The 21,806-nt window shown below is 51.6% G+C and overlaps 1 protein-coding gene across 2 annotated transcripts in view; it reads right to left on the bottom strand.

Moving 5' to 3' along the window:
- CACNA1B (calcium voltage-gated channel subunit alpha1 B) overlaps window positions 1–21,806 on the bottom strand; it is a 246,838-nt gene that overhangs the window by 146,172 nt on the left and 78,860 nt on the right. For both annotated transcript variants that reach the window (NM_000718.4, NM_001243812.2), the window contains exons 9-12: window positions 21,621–21,677; window positions 20,761–20,850; window positions 6,856–7,065; window positions 2,429–2,541 (exon numbers count right to left, since the gene is read on the bottom strand). In NM_000718.4, coding sequence (NP_000709.1) covers window positions 2,429–2,541; window positions 6,856–7,065; window positions 20,761–20,850; window positions 21,621–21,677 — 470 coding nt within the window. The remainder of the gene's footprint in view (window positions 1–2,428; window positions 2,542–6,855; window positions 7,066–20,760; window positions 20,851–21,620; window positions 21,678–21,806) is intronic.

The following is a 21,806-nucleotide window of genomic DNA, read 5'->3' as shown; positions in this document are numbered from 1 at the left end:
TTCTCGGGGGGGCAGTGCTCCCACCTGTCACTCCTTCCTGGGGGGGGCAGGGTAGTACTCCCACCCTTCACTCCTTCATGGGAGGGGTGGTGCTCCCACCCTTCACTCCCTCCTGGGGGGGGAAGTGCTCCCATCACTCCTTCCTGGGGGGGCAGTGCTCCCACCTGTCACTCCTTCCTGGGGGGGAGGGTAGTGCTCCCACCCTTCACTCCTTCCTGGGGGAGTAGTGATCCCGTTGCTCTTTCCTGGGGGGGGGCAATGCTCCCACCTGTCACTCCTTCCTGGGGGGGAAGTAGTGCTCCCACCCTTCACTCCTTCCTGGGGAGGGGGCAGTGCTCCCATCACTCCTTCCTGGGGGAGGGCAGTGCTCCCACCTGTCACTCCTTCCTGGGGGGGAGGGTAGTGCTCCCACCCTTCACTCCTTCCTGGGGGGGCAGTGCTCCCACCTGTCACTCCTTCCTGGGAGGGAGGGTAGTACTCCCACCCTTCACTCCTTCCTGGGGGGGGTAGTGCTCCCACCTGTCACTCCTTCCTGCGGGGGTAGTGCACCCGCCTGTTACTCCTTCCTGGGGGACTCTGCTCCCACCCTTCACTCCACCCTGAGAGGGGCAATGCTCCCACTCATCACTCCTTGTCACTCCCACTTGTTGCTCCTTACGGGAGGGCTTGAAGTGCTCTGGTACAAAGACTTGGAGGGAGTACTTACTCCCACTCCTCCCTCCTCCCTCAGGGGGCGGCGTGCCCACCCATCATTCCCAGCCTCCAGCAGGAAGACTCAGAACTCAGCCTCTGGGCAGGTGCCGACAGTGCCATATCCCTAGGCTCTGGGTTCAGGTCCCAGGAAGTGTCCTGTGCTCCCTGCGGGGTCTGAGAATCCAGAAGATTCTCAGACTGCCCTGCCCTGCCCTCTGTGCTCAGCTGTCATGGTAAGCTGTGAAACACACTGCCTCCAAGGCCTCCCTACCTACATAAGTTGGTAATTCTCAGACTGCCCTGCCCTGCCCTCTGTGCTCAGCTGTCATGGTAAGCTGGGAAACACACTGCCTCCAAGGCCTCCCCACCTACATAAGTTGGTAATTCTCAGACTGCCCTGCCCTGCCCTCTGTGCTCAGCTGTCATGGTAAGCTGGGAAACACACTGCCTCCAAGGCCTCCCTACCTACATAAGTTGGTAATTCTCAGACTGCCCAGCACTGCCCTCTGTGCTCAGCTGTCATGGTAAGCTGGGAAACACACTGCCTCCAAGGCCTCCCCACCTACATAAGTTGGTAATTCTCAGACTGCCCTGCCCTGCCCTCTGTGCTCAGCTGTCATGGTAAGCTGGGAAACACACTGCCTCCAAGGCCTCCCTACCTACATAAGTTGGTAATTCTCAGACTGCCCAGCACTGCCCTCTGTGCTCAGCTGTCATGGTAAGCTGGGAAACACACTGCCTCCAAGGCCTCCCTACCTACATAAGTTGGTAATTCTCAGACTGCCCTGCCCTGCCCTCTGTGCTCAGCTGTCATGGTAAGCTGGGAAACACACTGCCTCCAAGGCCTCCCTACCTACATAAGTTGGTAATTCTCAGACTGCCCAGCACTGCCCTCTGTGCTCAGCTGTCATGGTAAGCTGGGAAACACACTGCCTCCAAGGCTTCCCTACCTACATAAGTTGGTAATTCTCAGACTGCCCTGCCCTGCCCTCTGTGCTCAGCTGTCATGGTAAGCTGGGAAACACACTGCCTCCAAGGCTTCCCCTACCTACATAAGTTGGTAATTCTCAGACTGCCCTGCCCTGCCCTCTGTGCTCAGCTGTCATGGTAAGCTGGGAAACACACTGCCTCCAAGGCCTCCCCACCTACATAAGTTGGTAATTCTCAGACTGCCCTGCCCTGCCGTCTGTGTTCAACTGTCATGGTAAGCTGGGAAACACACTGCCTCCAAGGCCTCCCTACCTACATAAGTTGGTAAAGAGACTCAGGCCAGGGCCACCACCTCCCCCAGCCTCACAGAGAGGGCAGGACCATCATGGCCTATCGTGCCCCAACCCCAGAAGTGCTGGTGGATGTACCCAAGCCTGCCCAGGGCCAGAGCCCCCCTGAGCTCCACTGGGGAGAGACTGAGCCCTCCACAGGTTTGCGAGATCCCAGGCATGGAGGTAGCTGCAGAGCCTTCAGCTGATTATGAAAATCTATGGACAGGATCAGAAGAGGGAAGGGTGACCTCCCGCCGACAGAGAGCTGCTGAGGCTGACACTCCCATCAGTCAGGCCCCGCCAGGACAGGCCTCCCGCTGCCAGCCCCCTGCTCCTCACTGTCTTCAGGCAGCCTTTCTGACCCATGTAGGGTCACAGACCCCAGCCCACACTGGGCATGGCCTATGGGAGGGGGCTGTGTGCACCTGCAGGAAAGGATACAGCCTGGGCCCCTGATCAGGCCTCTCACTCACCCCAAAGTCGAAGCAGTTGAAGGAGGACCGGAAGTAGCTTCTGGGCCCCAGGCCATACATCTTCAGGGACATCTCTGTGAGGAAGAGACCCAGGAAAACAAACTCTGCAAAATCTAGGAGAAGCCGGAGAAGAGGGGGATTAGCTCGAGGCCTCCTCCCACTCTGGCTCCAGCCCAGACTGGAGGACACCAGACCTCTGGGCCTTCCCAGGGCTGAGCCTTCCAGGCCTGGCCTATGGTCCTATGCTCTGAAGTCTCAGCCTAGGAAAGGAACGATGGATTCAGAGGGACACGGAGAGGTACCTGTTCCAGTCTGAAAGGTGGTGAGTCCCTAGTGCCTCTGAGACCCAGAGAAGGACGGGCTCAGCAGGAGGCAAGCTCCCGAGATCAGCCCAGGTGTGAGTTCTGGGGTCATGGGGGTGCCCCCTCCTCACCAGAGGAGGTCCTGGGGCTATGAGGCAAAGGGCCCCATTTACCCCAAGGAGAGGCCCAGCTACAGCTTCCAGCTGGTCCTTCCGCCTCTGGCCTCACCCCAATCTCTGACCGAAGGTGGGGTCCCTCAACCTCCTTGTCAGAATCTCCCACCTTTCCACTGGGACTTCCCAGTGGAAAGACGCCTCTCCCCACAATGTCCACGGCACTGTGGCTGACTTGTATTCTGTTCACGTTTGCTGCCCCGAGGGTAGACCTCCTCCACCACTGCACTCCTCTCCAGCACGAGGCTGCCAAGAGGCACTGTCCCCTTGCACTGTCACCAAGTCACACAGAGGTTCCTGCGGGCACAGCAGCAGTGGAGGGGGGCTGTCTTGGGCTCAGAAGTCCTGCTGACCCTTCCGGGCCTCAGTACTGAGGGAGGCCATGCTGGGGCTAGAGGGCTGTGCTGGGAATTCAAGGTACACAGACTCTTGCTCACCCAGCCCAAGCAGAAAGAGGGAAGCAGCACAGAAGAACGCCGTGGCTCCAGAGCTGGGTGAGGCCACAGGCAGCAGGAGGCCCAGCGAGGCCCAGCCGCTGGCTGAGCCAGGAGTCCTAGGCGTCAGGGTGAGGCCACTGTCTCTGACTCTCCTCCCAAAGGGTTGGGCAGGGATTGGCTCTTAAACTTCTCACAGTGCTGGTCAGGCCAAAGGCACCATGGCTCTGCCAGGTCAGCAGGGGCTAGGGAGGCAACAGAGCCCAGGGCAGAGCCCACATGGAGAACAAGGCCCTGGGAGGGCATGAAGGGCAGGCCCCTGAGAGTCCACAACTGGGCAGAGTCCAGCTCGGCCTTCCCAGGGCTTCTGAATCCCCCTCTACAGTCTCTGTTGGGACACGGGACCTTCAGCAGACACAACTTCTGATAAAGCAGACACTGGAAGAGGGGGCCACACACTCTTCCCACCCCTATGCTCCTAAAATCTCCTCCACCAAGGGCTGTGCTGCACAGGTCCAGACAGCCTCGGTCGGGGGCAAGTCTGCAGCAGCCCAGACCTGGGATAAGCAGAGATGACAACTTCACAGACCACTCAGGCACCGTACAAACAGACAGGAGTCTCAGGGAGCGGACACCCCACTTTGTATGGCCTGAGGACATGGACAACCAGTTCCTTGGAGCAAGTCACCTGTAGCAAGCCTGGCCTCTGACACCAGCCAGAAAATCACCAGGCACTCAAGCTAAGCATGGGATGATAACAAGGCCAAGCAGTGTCCCTGGAGAAGCCGAGAGCCCCCTGTGAGAGGCATGGATGCCCAGCGACCCTCAGGCAGGGCTGCTCGGGAATGGAAGGATCCACCCTCAACTGAGACCACTGGACCCTACAGCTCTGACCTGGGCCTGGCTGTGCAGACCACCAGGTGTGAGATGTGGCAGGAAAGCCGTGACCCCTGCAGTCCAGTGCAGAGCACCCCAGCAAGCCCAGGGGAATACACAAGCAGCTTGGAAAGGCCCAACACGCCTGGCCACAAAGTCCCAGAGCCCCTCTGCGTGGGTCACAAAGGCCTCGGGCTCCCCACACGAGGGGCTCGGACCCAGGGAGGAGAGGCCCCAGAGATGGGACTGCTGGCACCCACACCCTAGATCTGGGAGGGGAGGCTACCCAGGCACACACCTTGCTCCCCAGGAGACCAAAGTGAGAGCACTTTGCAAGGAACAAGTACAAGAAATGCAAACGGTAAAACTTTCAGAGAAAGAGATCTGAAATCCTCCAACATCCTGTCTGCCCTCTCACTCTCCCTAGGAACAGAGGCCCTCAGCCTCACATACTCAGCCTCCACTCTGAGGCCCAGAAAGGGCATTCATTCGTACACTCTTGTATCATGCATCCTACCAGCAGGCACTGGTGCTGTTTTGAGCCAGCATGGGGACAGAGTTCACCCTTCTCCCCAGGAGTTCACAAGCTGAGGGGGAAACAGAGACAGATCACTAAAACCAGGTTTTGTCTTCCAAGAGGATGGTGTGCTATGGGAGCAGAGGGAGGGTGAGCAAGTCTGGTGAGCTGCATAAGGCCCCCCAGGGGCTCACAGGATGGCAAGTCCTGACAGTGCCCCTCTTAACCACTCGAGCCTCAATTTTGAAGGTTCTGGCAATGCATTGAGGGCAGGTCCTTGGAGAATGGACAGCCGAGGTGCACAGAACCCACGATGAGCCCCTGCAAAGCTGCTCTAGGCTGGGCGGCCACACCCCCTCGCCTCTGGCAAGCCTGTCCTACCTACTGAGCAAGCCTCCCTCAGGCCCAGCCCGGCTGTCAGGGACACTGCCCACATTTCCCTCCAGCCATTTTTCCCTCAGTGACACAATGAAGCCAGGAACTCCAGGAAACCACAGAGAAGACACAGTAGCGGTCTACGGTCAGGGATGCCTGTGGCCTCACCAACGCCTGGACACTGCCAGCCCTGTGCTCGCACACAGCAGATGCGCGACTGGGCTGTGCAGCCCTACCCCTACCCCACTGCCTGCCGACTCACTGCACACCAACAGCCTCTCACGGGGAAGAACAGGCCTAGTCACTGGGTCAGGAGGAAGTCCTTGGTCCCCACCTGACCCCCAAGGGTGGGAAAACCTTAGCCGGAGGACTCAAGAGAGACACTGAACTCAGGCCCAAGCAAAGTCCCGAGGTACCACCCTGTGGGCCCCAGGACGTGTCAGTCAGGAGCTGGGACAGGCAGTTCCATGTACACAAGCTGCTTCTCGACCTGCAGCCGCCCAGGGAGCCTGAGCCGGAGCTCTCTTGGCTCCTTTTGCTTCTGCCCCTCCGCACCATCTCCCCGTTCGGAAGTCGTAGATTTCAATGTCAAGTTTGGGAAACTGTAGCCCAGAGTTCCACCCCAACACAGCCACTCTCCCACCCATGCTTCCAGGTGACCTGCAGCCCCATCTCTCCCACTGTGGAGCTGTCAGATCCTGCAGCTCAGGGAACCCTCACACTCCTGGGCAGAGCAGGTGAGGCCCTCTGGTCTACAGAGCAGGGCTCAGCCGGCCGGCTAGAGCCCTGGTGAGGCCACCGTGACAGCAGGACACAGTGACAGCCAGGCTGGAACTGGGAGCTGGGATAGCTCTTCTCTGGAGTCGGAAAAGGCTTTCCTGGGTGCCTCGGCAGCTTCAGGCAAACAGGGCCCTCAAGGGGAGACTGAGGCCCTCCAGGGAGCCCCAAACAGGCCCTGTCTCCAGATCCGCTGTAGACACCCAGCAGGGTGAGTGCAGCTGACCCCTGGGGTCAGGAGGGCTGAATCACTACCTGAAAGGACATAAAACATGGGTGGACTCTTTGGTTTTGATCCTGTTTGTGAAGTAAGACCACAGAGCAATGCTGTATTCCACATGGGACAGAGAGTCCGAGGCTGTGACAGACCAGGCCTGGAGGGGCCCATCCTGGCCCCTGTGCTGAGGCTTGTGGAACAGAACTGCAAACAGCTCACTCCACGGAAGGGCATGAATGCATCCAGATTTAGCCAATTGTAAAGAAAAATGAAGGTAACCAGGGGAACCTGGGGAGGGTAAGAAGCCAGGACTCCCCCCTCAGGAACCCGGGGCAGAATCAGCAGCCACGTGGTGGAAAGGAGCGTGGGGCTAAGTCCCCTGTCTGTGGGTCTGAAGCCCTCTCAGGGGAGGACACCCATCTGCCTGGCCTGACTCGCCCCTGGTCGTCCCACATATATCCTGCCCTGGGTGCCTCGGACCCCTCAACCAGTCTCACACTATGCTGAGGGACAGGGGTCTAGCAGATCCAGCTGTGCTTTCTGGAACCCAGGGGCTGGAGAGGCCACCCTCCAGCTCTGGACACACCCCAGGCCCCCACAGAGGCTCCTGGAGGCTGACTAGGGCTGTGGGATACTTTGAGCAACATGGGGGTGGGTCCCGTCCCACCTGGGGTAGCCCCAGGGCATGGACCAGGGTTTCCAGACTGAGAGCAGAGATGCTCAGGAAGCACCTGAGGGAGGGACGGGGATACGTACACAGGGTCGTGGTAAGCCGCCGCGGCTGGTTGTAATGCACCATGGCCACACACAGTGTGTTCAGGGCCACCACGCACAGCACCACCCAGTAGAAGCTCTGAGCCTTCACCATGCGCCGGATAAAAAACCGGAACATCTTCTCCTTCCTCCGGAAGTATGACGAGCTCTCTGTCTTCCCGCTCTTGAGGCTGGCGCGGGCGAAGGGGGATCCTGAGGGGATGGGGAGTTACTGAGGATGTGGGGACCAATGGGCACCCGCCTACCCCACCTGTGGACCCCCACAGACGCACTCTGGAGGACACCTGCCCCCAGCCCCAGCCGGTCACAGACAATTGTGCCAGTGACCCCTGTGACCTCCACTTCACAGCTGAGGGAACCAAGGCCCTGATGATCTCCATGGTTACTGGGTGCCAGATGTGAGAGCCAGATTGAAGTGGATGATCTGTACTCACTTCTCTGGTCCCCAGCATCCCCAGCCACCTTCTAGGAGCACAGCCCTGATGCCCCCAGGCCACTCTCCATGAGCACCCCAAGCTTTTTCCCCTGAAGACATAAATCTGAGTTAGTCCCTCCCCAGATCCCATCTCTTCAGCATAGCCCACAGAGCCCTGCAGCATCTGGCCCTCCCTCTCTCGCCCTCCGGACTCAGGGGTCAGCACGCATGGGCTGCCTGTTTTCTAAGCAGTTTTCCTGGAACACAGCCAAGCTCATCGGTTTACGCATGGTCCATGGCTGTTCAATGTCCACAATACTTACTGTTGGAAACTTTGTCTACCTGCTCCAGCCTGACTGCTTCTCTACCCTGCTCACCACCCAACCCAGCAGCCTTTTCCCATGTCCACGCACACCAGTCCTGCTGTGCCCTGGCCCTTCACACAATATCCCAAGTGTGAAATGCGTCCCTCACTGGACTCCTTCCCACACACTTTCAAGTCTCAGCATTAACGTCACCTGCACAGAGCACCTGCTCTGGGCACACCATTTAGAACAGGGCCCTCGGCTCACCTCCGACAGTGGCCCTGACCACATCACCACCTGTCACTGTGTTTTATTGTTGACCTGTTCCATGCCCAACTCCCAGACAAGACTGTAGGCTCCATGAGGACAGGGCCACATTGTCTTCTTCACCACTGAGCCCCTCACACTGAGAGGGGCTTGATCAATGCTTAACAACTGAGGGAAGGGTCTCTATGAGGATTCAGGTGTGTCTGTACAGGAGCTGGCTGTGTCTCTGCAGGAGAGCACATCTGCCTGTGTAAGGGTTTCTTAGTTTGTGCACTAAGCCTGGCCATGTGGGTGCCTCTCAGTGTTCTCAGAGAGCAGACAGCTGTGCCCCAGCCATGGGTCTCTCAGTGGGCTTTGAATACCTGGGCTTGAGCATGGGGTCCCTGTGTGAGGATGTGGGGAGCAGTGTATGCTACATGTACTTTCTGTGTGTTTGTACACACATGCATATGTGTGCACACCCAGGTTCTCAGTGGCACAAAAGAGCAGGGGCAGTGTGGGCATGTGTGCTATGCATATTTTCTGTTTGTACACACATGCATATGTGTGCACACCCAGGCTCTCAGTGGCTCTCATAGCTCGTGTGCTATGTGCATTTTCTGTGTGTTTGTACACATGTGTGTACATGTGCACACCCAGGCTCTCAGTGGCATGTGGCCAGCCCTGCTGAAGGCCAGGGATGACCACTCCCCACAGAGGCAGCAGTAGGGCAGGAGGGAGGCAGGTGTGCAATGCAGATAAGGAGGGGCACACACACAGGCAGAGCTGTGCACAGAACAAGCCCACACACTCTGAACCCCCCATGCACCCACACACAGTTGTGCAGGAACACAGGAGTCACACACGCACATGCTTCACAGCACACATCCAGCCTGACCACGCTCACTTTTGAAGATCCAATGAGATGCTCACACAGACACACTCCTCAGTGCACATGAGGCACACACCTGTGGACACAAACAGGGCCACTCTGGGAAGGAGGGAAAGAGAACACGTGACTCATGTAAACCCACTGTGTCTGCACACACACGTGGCCAGGAAGACAAGCAACAAATTCTCCAAAGGGGACTCTGTGGCCATCCCCACCAGCCAGTAAGAACCAGTCAGCCTCTGCTATGAGAAAGGCCTCATAGAAATGCTGCCCTTTCACAATGGGCCACAGCCCCCCACACACACACATCTTCCTGTGCACACAACACAAGACAACCACACACATCCTCGCCTGTCACAGGCACAACCATAGTCATGCCAACAGCCGTATTTGCACAGAACCACACTCCCCAGACATTGCCCTTAAAGTCCACCAGTTCCTTGCTGTAAACATCGACTTTAGAGAAGCCAGAGGCGCCAGAGCCAGGGGACTGAGCAAGACCTAACAGAGGGACTCCTGATCCAGACGCCCTGGGGGAGAGCTGGGTGCAGCCCCTCACATCCCAGCTCAGCAACCCCAGCAGCACCCAAGACAGATGCATTTGTTCCCCGGGGATGAGGCACAGGTCCCTAAGGACAGCAAGCAGCCACTGTGGACTCCAGTCTGCTCCAGTAAAAGCAGAGAGTCTACAGGAAACGCGGAAACATCTCTGGAATCACAGCTTTGGGAAAACCAAGAGAGACTGGGCTTCTTTTCAGCTTCCTGCATTTTCCAGGGTTCACTTAATTAGCATATATTCTTTATAATGAAAAAGCTTATTTCAAGAAAAATGATAGGACATCTTCAAGCTAGGGAGAAATTCCATATTACATTAACCTATGAATGATGACACAGTGAAGTACTGCTGAGAATAGGGCCTGACTGCTGCAAATACTTAGATTTCTTTCTCTTGTGCCCTAAGGCAGACTCTTTGCTAGTCCTGGGTAACCCCCATTTGTTCAAAAAATGTGTACAAATTGTGCCAGGCCCTGACCAAAGCCCAGAAAACACAAAATGACCAACATCCATCCCTGTTCTCAATAACCCTTCTAGAGGACAGTGGGGAGACAGACAAGAAAGTGTTTCCTTCCAGTGCAGCTGCTGTATTTGCCACTGGGGGCAACAAAAGTGACGTGAGGCTAAAGCACGAGCTGATGGAGGCCCTAATGGCTGTCACCCCTGGCCCTCGTGCACATCACGCAGCCTGGAGATTCCTCAACTGAAAACAGAGCACAGTCACCTGTACCTCACAAGGTGGTGTGGGATTCAGTGAGACAGCACAGGGCCAAGCTCAGCGGGGCTCAACCAGCTGACAAGGCGTCAGGGCCGACAGGGTGACACGGGTTATGGGCAAGCCTGGGGTGGTGACACAGCCAGTCCTCAGGCAGAAGGCAGTCGAGGGCACCAAGCAGTGCTGAGAATGTGGAGATTCAAGCACGGCTTCGTCTCCTCCCCACCAGGCCCCAGGCCCCAAGCCCACCCTGAACCAACAGTGGAGGCCAGTGGGTCCTGAATGTAAGTGAATCCTCGGTGTCTGCTGGGTACCCAGAAGGAAAAGTCAACAAAGGCCCAGAGATCCAAGTATAGCAACACATAACTCAAAATAAAACAAAACTAAAAGAGAGAGAAAAAAACTTTTAGAGAAGAAATAAAATTCTCTTCGGAAACCACTCAGCAGATGAAAAAAAGGGGAGTTCAGTCAAGCGCAAGCAGCATCTCCAACGTGGAGGTGAACGCGAGCTCAAGGAAGAGGGCATGGACTGACAGGAGCAGAGCAAGCAACACCACGTGAAACAGGAGGGGCTCCAGATGCAGGAGATCAAGAAAAGGAGACAGAATAATGAGACAAACGGAGGGAAGCACTCCGCGCCAGAGGGGCCCTGAGCCTGCAGTTTGAGGGGCAGACAGAGAGCAAGTCACTGACAAAGGAAAAGCATCCGAGTGTCCGATGCCTCATGTGCAACAGGAAATGAGAGAGAGAGACACTTGCAGTGGGCACAGCAGCCTGGATCTCGCTCCTCAGTGGGGAACAAGGAAGGGCACCTGAGAGTACACAGGAACTCGAAGAGTCAGCCACCACCAACACCCCCATTCATTTCAGGGGAGAGCAGCCGAGTGACAGGACAGAGTTAAAACGGAGGAGACAGTCCTGCAGTGAGCAAGGACTGAAGAGAAGAGAAGATGCTAAGGTAAACCTAGGTGACTGAGGTTAGGGCTCTGAGAGCGGGCCACGGGAATGATAGCTGAGGGCCCCTGGGCATAGGGGAGCCTGTGGGGGCAGTCTGAAGGGACGGGCGACAGTCAAGAATGAAAAGTGAACACCCTCAAACCAGGATGCGGAGGCAGGGCAAGTACTGGAAAGGCTGTGACTTACTGGGTATGGGTGGAGGCAGAATAAAGGGAAATAGACCAATTGAGTGATGGAACTAGTACATCTTGGTACTAAAGATGCTAAAGAAACAAAAACAGTAAAGAGGTACGTTGACAATTATGAGAGCAGGGAAGGGAAGGCAACCTTTTGTGGAACAGAAGAATTAGAGAGTAAAAATAAGCAAGGGAGGAGAGGAGCAATAAACAGCAACTCGATTAAAGCAGCAGAACTTGGGATGAAGAATAGAGTCAAACATTATACTAAATGGAGAGACTGGATTCACCCGTTACCATTAGAAACAGACACCATACAACTGGGTTTTTTTTTTAAAAAAAAAAAAGCAAAACCACCAAGCCAGGCATGGTGGTGCACACCTATAGTCCCAGCTACTCAGGAGGCTGAGACAGGAGGATCATCCTGGGCAACGTAACTCTGTCTCTTAAATACATAAATAAAATTTTAAAAAATTGGCTGGGTGCGGTGGCTCACGCCTGTAATCCCAGCACTTTGGGAGGCCAAGGCGGGCGGATCACGAGGTCAGGAGATCGAGACTGTCCTGGCTAACATGGTGAAACTCCTTCTCTACTAAAAATACAAAAAATTAGCTGGGCGTGGTGGCACGTGCCTGTAGTCCCAGCTACTTGGGAGGCTGAGGCAGGAGAATGGCTTGAACCCAGGAGGCAGAGGTTGCAGGGAGCTGAGATCGCACCACTGCACTCCAGCCTGGGTGACAGAGCAAGACTCCGTCTCATTAAAAAAATAAAAAATAAAAAAAATTTTGGCCAGGCACAGTGGCCCACGCCTGTAACCCCAGCACTTTCAGAGGCTGAGGCAGGCAGATCACGAGGTCAGGAGATCGAGACCATCCTGGCTAACACGGTGAAACCCAGTCTCTGCTAAACAAAATGCAAAAAATTAGCCAGGCCTGGTGGTAGGTGCCTGTAGTCCCAGCTACTCAGGAGGCTGAGGCAGGAGAATGGCATGAACCCGGGAGGCAGAGCTTGCAGTGAGCCAAGATCGCGCCACTGCACTCCAGCCTGGGCAACAGAGCAAGACTCTGTCTCAAAAAAAAAAAAAAAAATTTAAAAGGCAGAACCCAGGTAAATACAATTTACAAGAACACTTAAAATGATAAAGAAGAGCTGGAAATGAAAGGAAAAGAAAGGTACCAGGCAAATGCAAGTTAAAAACCAAAACCAGTGATAGCAACAAAAAGTAGAACCAATGACATTCAATGTCGACAAGGTGCAACTGTCCAGCAGAGGAACTGCACAGATTAAGAAGGTACTGTGTGATGAAATAAAGCATAATTTAGGAAGAAGATGTAACAATCATAAACTTTATATTGCCCAAACTATACAGTGACTAAATATATAAACAAAAGTCACTAGAAATACAAGAGGAACTTCATAAAAAATAAAATGAGCTGGGCACAGTGGCTCACGCCTGTAATCCCCACACTTTGGGAGGCCAAGGCGGGCGGATCATGAGGTCAGAGTTCAAGACCAGCCTGGCCAACCTGGTGAAACCCTGTCTCTACTAAAAACACAAAAATTAGCTGGGCGTGGTGGTGGGTGCCTGTAATCCCTCTGAGGGAGGAGAATCGTTTGAACCCAGGAGGCAGAGGTTGCAATGAGCCGAGATCATGCCATTGCATTCCAGCCTAGGCGACAGGGTTAGACTCTGTCTTAAATAAATAAATAAATAAATAAATAAATAAATAAATAAATAAAATGAAGTAGGACTACAGGCATGCACCACCATGCTCAGCTAAGTTTTTAATTTCTTTGTAGAGGTGGGATCTCACTATGTTGTCCAGGCTTGTCTCAAACTCCTGGCCTCAAGCAATCTTCTGGCCTCAGCCTCTCAAACTGCTGGGATTACAGGCATGCGCCACCGCGCCCGGCCAATAGACTTGATTTTAATAAATATACCTATAATCCAATATCTTTTAAACACAGGACACAGGAGGGGCAGGGCAGGCCACCACTTTGGTCATTCAGGCTTCTCAGCCATTCCAGCCTGTGGGACTTGGAAAGCTCAAACTGATCAGGGAACGAAGGCATCTCCAAAACAGCACAGCTGCTCTATCAAAAAGCAGTCAGGCTGCTTCTTTAAATGGGTCCTTGATCCCATTCCTCCTGACTGGGTAAGACCTCCCAACTGGGGTCTCCAGCCACCTCCTACAGGCACATTCAGGCCAGCAATAGGTCAGCACCCCCTGGGACAAAGCTTATAGAGGATGCGGCAGGATGCCATCTTTGCTGTTTCACGACCTTCACTGGCGATACCACCAAGTACAGGGAAAACCAAGGCAACTAGGCTCTGGAGTGGACCCACAGAAAACTGCAGCAGCCCTAGGGAAGAGAGGCCAGACTGCTAAAAGGAAAGCAAACAAACAGAAAACAACAACAACAACAAAACACAAAAACCCCATCCAAAGGTCAGCAACCTCACAGATCAAAGGTGGATAAGCCCACAAAGATGAGAAATAATCAACACAAAAATGCTTAAAACTCAAAAAGCCAGAGTGCCCCTTTTCTTCCAAATGACCACAACACCTCTCCAGCAAGGGCTCAGAACTGGGCTGAAACTGAGACTGTTGAAATGATAGAAGTAGGCTTCAGAAGGTGGGTAATAATGAACTTCACTTATGAGGCTATAAGAGCATGTGGTAACCCAATGCAAAGAAGCTAACAATCATGATAAAACAATACAGGAACTGATAGCCAATACAGCCAGTTTAGAAAGGAACATAACCAACCTGTTAGAGCTGAAAAACACACTACAAGAACTTCACAATGCAATCACAAGTATTAATAGCAGAACAGATCAAGCAGAGGAAAGAATCTCAGAGCTGGAAGACAATTTTTCTGAAATAAGACAGGCAGACAAAAACAGAGAAAAAAGAGTGGAAAGAAATGAACAAAACCTCTGAGAAATATGGGATTATGTAAAGAGACTGAATCTATGACTGATTAGGATAACTTAAAGAGACAGGGAGATTGGAACAAGTTGGAAAATGTACTTCAGGATATCATCCAGGAGAACTTCCTCAACCTAGCAAGACTGGCCAACATTCAAATTCAGGAAATGCAGAGAGCCCCAGTAAAATACTCCATGAGAAGATCATCCCCAAGACACATAATCATCAGACTCTCTAAGGTTGAAGTGAAGGAAAGAATGTTAAGGGCAGCCAGAGAGAAAGGCCAGGTCACCTGCAAAGGGAATCCCATCAGACTAGCAGTGGACCTCTCAGTGGAAACCCTACAAGCTAGAAGAGATTGGGGGCCAATATTCAACATTCTTAAAAGAATTCCAAATCCAGAATTTCATATCTGGCCAAATCAAGCTTCATAAGTGAAGGAGAAATAAGATCCTTTTCAGGCAAGCAAATGCTGAGGGAATTCGTTATTACCAGACCTGCCCTACAAGGGGTCCTAATGGAAGCACTAAATATGGAAAGGAAAAACCATTACTAGCCGCTGCAAAAACAAACTGAAGTAAACAGACCAGTGACACTATGAAGAAACTACATAAAAACTCTGCAAAATAACCAGCTAGCATCATGATGACAGGATCAAATCCACACGTAACAATACCAACTTTAGGCGGGCCATGGTGGCTCACGACTATAATCCCAGCACCTTGGGAGGCCGAGGCAGGCAGATCATTTGAGGTCTGGAGTTCAACCAGCCTGACCAACATGGTGAAACCTCATCTCTACTAAAAATACAAAAAAATTAGCCAGGTGTGGTGGCACATGCCTGTAGTCCCAGAGATACTTGGAAGGCTGAGGCAGGAGAATCACTTGAACTTGGGAGGCGGAGGTTGCAGTGAGCTGAGATCACGCCACTGCACTCCAGCCTGGGCGACAGAGTGAGACTGTCTCAAAAAATAATAATAATAACAATACTAACTTTAAATGTAAATAGGCTAAATGCACCAATTAAAAGACGCAGAATGGCAGGCAGGTTAAAGAACCAATACCCATCAGTATGTTGTCTTCAAAAGACCCACATCACATGCAAAGACACACATGGGCTCAAAATAAAGGGATGGAGGAAAATTTATGAAGCAAATGGAAAACAGAAAAGAGTAGGGGTTGCAATCCTAGTTTCTGACAAAACAGACGTTAAATCACCAAAGATCAAAAAAGATGATGAAGGGTATTACATAGTGGTAAAGGGTTCAATTCAACAAGAAGAGCTAAGTGTCCTAAATATATATGTACCCAATACAGGAGTACCCAGATTCATGAAGCAAGTTCTTGGAGACTTCAAAGAGACTTAGACTCTCACACAATAACAATGGGAGACTTTAACAACCTACCAACAATATTAGGCAGATCATCAAGACTGAAAATCAACAAAGACATTCAGGAGTTGAACTCACCTCTGGATCAAGTGGACCTGATAGATATATACAGAACTCTCCACCCAAAGACAACGTAATATACATTCTTCTCATCGCCACACAACACTTACTCTAAAATTGATCACATAATTGGAAGTCAAACACTCCTCAGCAAATGCAAAAGAACTGAAATAATAACAGTCTCTAAGACCATGGTACAATCAAATTAGAACTCAAGATTAAGAAATTCACTCAAAACCACACAACTACATGCAAAATGAACAACCTGCTCCTGAATGAATTTTGGGTAAATAATGAAATTAATGCAGAAATCAAAAAGTTCTTTGAAACTAATGAGAACAAAGATATAACATACCAGAATCTCTGGGACACAGTTAAAGCAGTGTTAAGAGGGAAATTTATAGCACTAAATGCCCATACCAAAAAGAAAGATCTCAAGTTAACAACCTAACATCACAACTAAAAGAATTAGAGAACCAAGAGCAAACAAACCCCAAAGCTAGCAGAAAACAAGAAATAACTAAGATCAGAGCTGAACTGAAGGAGATAGAAAACATGAAAAATCCATCAAAAAAATCAATGAAAACAGGAGCTAGTTTTTTGAAAAAAAAAAAAATTAATAAAATAGATAGACCACTAGCTAGACTAAAAAAAAAGAGAAGAGAGAAGATTCAAATAAACACAATCAGAAATGATAAAGGAGATATCACCACTGACCCCACAGAAATACAGACAACCATCAGAGAATACTATAAACACCTCTATGCACATAAACTAGAAAATCTAGAAGAAATGAATAAATTCCTGGACACATACACCTTCCTAAGATTGAACCAGGAATAAATTGAATCCCTGAAAAGACCAATAATGAGGTCTAAAATTGAGGCAGTAATAAATAGCCTACCAATCAAAAAAAGCCCAGGTCCAGATGGACTCACAGCTCAATTCTCCCAGAGGTACAAAGATGAGCTGGTATCAATTCTACTGAAACTATTCTAAACAATTGTAAAGGAAGGACTCCTCCCTAACTCATTCTATGAGACCAGCATCATCCTCATACCAAAACCTGACAGATACAACAAAAAAAGAAAACTTCAGGCCAATATCCTAGATGAACATTGATGCAAAAATCCTCAACAAAATACTGGCAAACCAAATCCAGCAGCACATCAAAAAGCTTATCCACCACAATCTATCCACCACAATCAAGTAGGCTTCATCCCTGGGATGCAAGGTTGGTTCAACATACCCAAATCAATAAATGTGATTCATCACATAAACAGATCTAAAGGCAAAAACCACATGATTATCTCAATAGATGCAGAAAAGACCTTCAATAAAATTCAACATCCCTTCATGTTAAAAACTCTTAATAAACTAGATATTAAAGGGACATACCTCAGAATAATAAGAGACATATATGACAAAGCCATAGCCAATATCATCATGAATGGGCAAAAGCTGGAAGCATTCCCCTTGAAAACCTGCACAAGACAAGATGTCTCTCACCACTCCTATCCAACATAGTATTGGAAGTTCTGGCCAGAGCAATCTGGCAAGATAAAGAAATAAAGGGTATTTACATAGAAAGGGAAGTCAAACCATCTTTGTTTGCAGATGCCATCATCTGAGCCCAAAATATTCTCAAGCTGATAAACAACTTCAGCTAAGTCTCAGGATACAAAATCAATGTTCAAAAATCGCCAGCATTCTTATATACCAACAACAGGCAAGCTGAGAGCCAAATTATGCATGAACTCCCATTTGCAATTGCCACAAAAAAATAAAAATAAAATACCTAGGAATAAAGCTAGGATGTATTCCCTATTATTAAATAGAATACCCTACTTAATAAACGGTGCTGAGAGAACAAACAACCCCATTAAAAAGTAGGCAAAGGCCATGAACGGACACTTCTCAAAAGAAGACATACGTGTGGCCAACAAACATGAAAAAAAACCAACGTTACTGATTATTAGAGAAATACAAATCAAAACCAAAATGAGATATCATCTCACCCCAATCAGAATGACTATTATTAAAAAGTAAACAAAACAAAACAAACATGATGGAGAGGTTGTGGAGAAAAAGGAACACTTTACACAGTCTCCAGAGAGACCCTTATACCACAGAAGCCAGAGGGTGTCACCCCTCTGCAAACCACCAGGGCGGCCTGGGGTCCCGGTTGGAAGTGAGCCTGTCTGACTCTCAGGTTTCCTCGACCGCTACCGACAGCCCATGGCACCTCACTCCAGCCGCGCTGGCCTCCAAGACGTTCTCCACACCTGGGTGCCAAGCACAGCCTTGCCTCAGGGTCTTGGCACTCGTTGCCTGGAATGTCCTTTCCCAGAGGTCCCTCAGGCCGACCTCACCTCTCCCCTGACCTCCCCTCTCTCCCCTGGGCATCCCTCAGGCTGACCTCCCCTCCCTGGCGGCGTCTCGCATCTCCCCTCTCCTGGGTGTCCTTCATTCAGGCCGACCTCCCCTCCCCCTCCGTCTCTCAGGCTGACCTCCCCTCCCCCTCCCCCCCAGTCAGGCCAACCTCCCCCACACCCCACCGCCGCGTCCCTCAGGCCAACCTCCCCTTCCCGCTCCCCTACCTCGCCACCCCACGCCCCGTGTCCCTCAGACCGACCTCCCCTCTCCCCGGACCTCCCTTCTCTCCGGGTGTCCCTCAGGCCTAACTCCCCTCTCCCGGCTTCCCTCCGGCCGACCTTCCCTCCCCCTCCCCCTCACTCAGGCCAACTTTCCCTCCCCGCCACACACGTTCCTCAGGCCAAGCTCCCCTCTCTCTCCAGGTCGGCCTGAGAGTAGTTCCTCAGGCTGACCTCCCCTCCCCTGGCTTCCCTCAGGCCAACCTCCCCTCTCCCCCGCCCCGGCGTCCCTCAGGCGTCCTCACTTCCTGCAACTCTTTTACTCAAAGGCAGTCTTTTTCCTCAGGCCTTCTATGGCCATGAACTTCTGGCACCGCCCCCCCTCCACACGCTTCCACTCCTGCCTTCCTGACCTCTTCCTCCTCCGGACAGGGGCTCTGGCATGCGGCCTATTTTCCTTACTATCTTATTTGTTGTTTGATGCCCCCACTGGACGGAAACTCCAATGATGAAGGGCCTTTATTAGGAGTTTCTCCAGTGTCGCGGCCCCCATGCCTCCGTTGCTGGCACGTGGCGGGCACTGGATAGACATCTGCTGAATGAGGCACAAGCACTCGACACAGGCGAGGTTAAGAGAATCGCCAGAGAGCCGGTGCACAGCGCCACAGAAAGGGATCCCAACACCCTGAGAACGGGGCGATTTCCTAACAAAGCCTAAGTCACAACACTGGTCCAAATCCTTTTTTTTTTTCTTTTTTGGATTATATAGATTCACAGTTTTATCTCATCTATAAAAAAAGATAATTCCAGTGTTATTTAAAGGATTCCAAACCATAGATGAAGACATTTTAACTCTTCAATTCATTTTACAAAATCAGAATAAAAACTCTAGATAAAATAGCAATAGAAGGAAACTATTTAGCTACCACAATCATATAATAAATTGTTTAAAATTATAAGATGGACCAGGTGTGGTGGCTCACACCTGTAATCCCAGCCCTTTGGGAGGCCAAGGTGGGTAGATCACCTGAGGTCAGGAGTTCGAGAACAGCCAGGCCAACACGGTGAAACCCTGTCTCTTCTAAAAATACAAAAAATTAGCTGGGCAGTTGGTGCATGCCTATAATCCCAGCTACTCGGGTTGCTGAGGCAGGAGAATCACTAGAACCTGGGAGACAGAGGTTGCAGTGAGCCGAGATTGCACCATTGCACTCCAGCCTGGGCAACAAGAGCGAAATTTTTGTCTCAAAAAAAAATTAATTAAATAAAATAAAATTATAAGATGATAAAACATTCAGATCTATGATATACATTGGTATCTCATTATTGTCAAAATAAATACAAAATAATTTACAAACAAACTCACTAGAAAACTGTATAGCATATGGGAAGAGTCACCAAAGGCCAAGTCCAGACAGGGAACAAACATTTAGAAAGAGGGCCAGCATCACGGACAGTAGGAGAAAGGAAAATTGTAGTGCCAAAGAAATATTACTCTACACTCATCAAATTGGCCTCAAACTGGGAAAAATCAAAAGGAGCCGTCACATAGCACTGGATGAGGGCGAAGGTTGGCCTGTACTGTGGATGGAATGTGGGGTCGCACAGAACTCTGAACAGTACCACACCCTTACCCTCAGCACCTGCTCCTGGGAATCTGCCCCACAGAGAAAAGCACTAGTGAGGAAGGACAGCCATTCACAAAGACTTGGGGGCAGTATTTTTCATAGTGAGATAAAAGCACTAGAAATAAATGGCCATCAGCAGACGATCAGCAGACGAGCAACTGAACAACTCCAGTGACTCCACATCAGCAACGCCAGGTTGCACCCGACAAGGGGGGCTAGAATCAGACAAATTGATTAGGAGCAGATTAGGAAAGGGACTGGTGAGAAAAGTTTGTATGAAATCATTTTTGTAACAGAAGACTCCAAAACTCTACATGCATATTTGTGTGTGGATGTATGAGTGTTTGTGTGTGTTATCTGAGGTGAGCATGGAGAAATAGGGAAGGGTACATTGGAAGTTGTTAACAGGAGTTTCCTAGTGCTGAGTGAGGACAGAAAAGGTCCAGTTTAAGTGTATGTGTGTGTACGCATGAGTGTGTGTGTGTTTCCTGTTTTATTAAAGAGTTCTGTCTCATACATGTAACAATATAATGGTAGACATCTTCTAAATCTGGTCCACTCACAGACTGCTGTACAGCAAGGAAGTCCAGATTGGATCTGACTTGGTGTCTCAAAATGAAGCAAGGCCCAGGCACTTCTGGAACCAGAATCTGGTACCAGATAGAGAGGAAGGGAACCGACACAGCTCTGTTGGATAAATTAACCAGAATGTTCCTTGTACTATTTGAGAGGTAGGGGATGACACAACAGCCTCAGAGGCAGCAGGTCCAGAAAGTGAAAAAGAGACAGGGGCTGAAGAGAGAGGTGGCCCTATAGAGTCCTCCAGCCTTGGGATATGGCTAAGGGCCCTATGTCCACATGGGGGTCACAAAGCCAGGAGCAGCAAACTGTCTGAAAGGAGCCTGCAGGCGTTTGGGCAAGAAGGGGCGTCCAACAGTGGCTGGGTAGCAGGGGAAGCGGAGCATGCACTCCATGTCCAGCTCAAGCCTGGCAGAGCTGGAGGGACACCCTGAGACTCACCAACAGCACAGAGATCTGCAAACCGGTCCTCTCCCTCCTCTGCGTGGATCAGGTCATTTCTGCTCTTCTTGGTGGCCGCTCTCTTCAGCACTGCTTTAAACAAAGGATGGGAGAGACTGCCTGAGCTGCAGCCCTCAGGCCACCTGCCTCAGCGGGGCATGGGATCACCCTCCCCCTGGGACCAGTGACCTCTCCTGAGCTCCTGTCCTGAACTGGGGCTGAGGCCGGATGATTGTGGGCCCCCTTGGGTCCCTCCCAGTCCCCAGAGCTGAAGGGACAAGGAATTTTGAGGGTGAGGGGTCCCCGCTTTCCCTTTCTTCCAAAATGAGGCCAGTGGGGAGGCCTGGCCACCAGGGAGACCAGGAAACGTCCATCTGGGGCAAGGCCAGGACTACAACAGGGACAGCATAGACCTGCTCAGAGCCGCAGGCATGGGGCCGGCTGAGATTGCCACGGAAGTGCCCATGCTGTCTGGCCCTGACCTGAGCGGTGGGTGTGCAGAGAGGGCAGCCTTCCTGCTGCTGCAGCTATGCTGGTAACTAGTGCCAGCAACCACAGCAGTGGGGCCCGGGCTCCCTCTCATGGCCCCAGGTTGTGCCATGAGCCCTCCCATGGTCTCTGGGAGCAGCAGCACCCCAAGCCCTGGGGATAGACACAGCTCGGTTTAAACCTGCAGTGTGGGCCTGTGTCAGGTGCCAGGGTCAGACACCATGGCCCTAGTCTGTGTTCATGTGATGGCTGTGCAGGTGCCTGGCACTGCCAAGAGCACTTCGCGTGAAACATGCAAGCAGGCACGTGTCACCACCCACGTGGCCACCAGAGCACTCCACCACACAGGAGTACCAGCAAGTGCCACCTACCGTCCAAAGGGGACTTCTCCTCTGCATTCCTGTCCTCCTCGGCCAGCATGACTTCCTCTGCGAGGGGAACACAGCCTCAGGTCAGAGCCCTCCTGACCCCAGGAATGCCCCAGGACAGAGGCACATCTCTGTCTGGAAGGCCCTGCCTTCTCAGCTCTTTTTTTTTTTTTTTTTGAGATGGAGTCT

The sequence above is a fragment of the Homo sapiens genome, chromosome 9 (genome assembly GCF_000001405.40).
Source record: "Homo sapiens chromosome 9, GRCh38.p14 Primary Assembly".
NCBI lineage: Eukaryota > Metazoa > Chordata > Mammalia > Primates > Hominidae > Homo > Homo sapiens.
The sequence above is the reverse complement of the archived record's forward strand: the minus strand, read 5'-3'. Positions and strand labels throughout refer to the sequence as shown.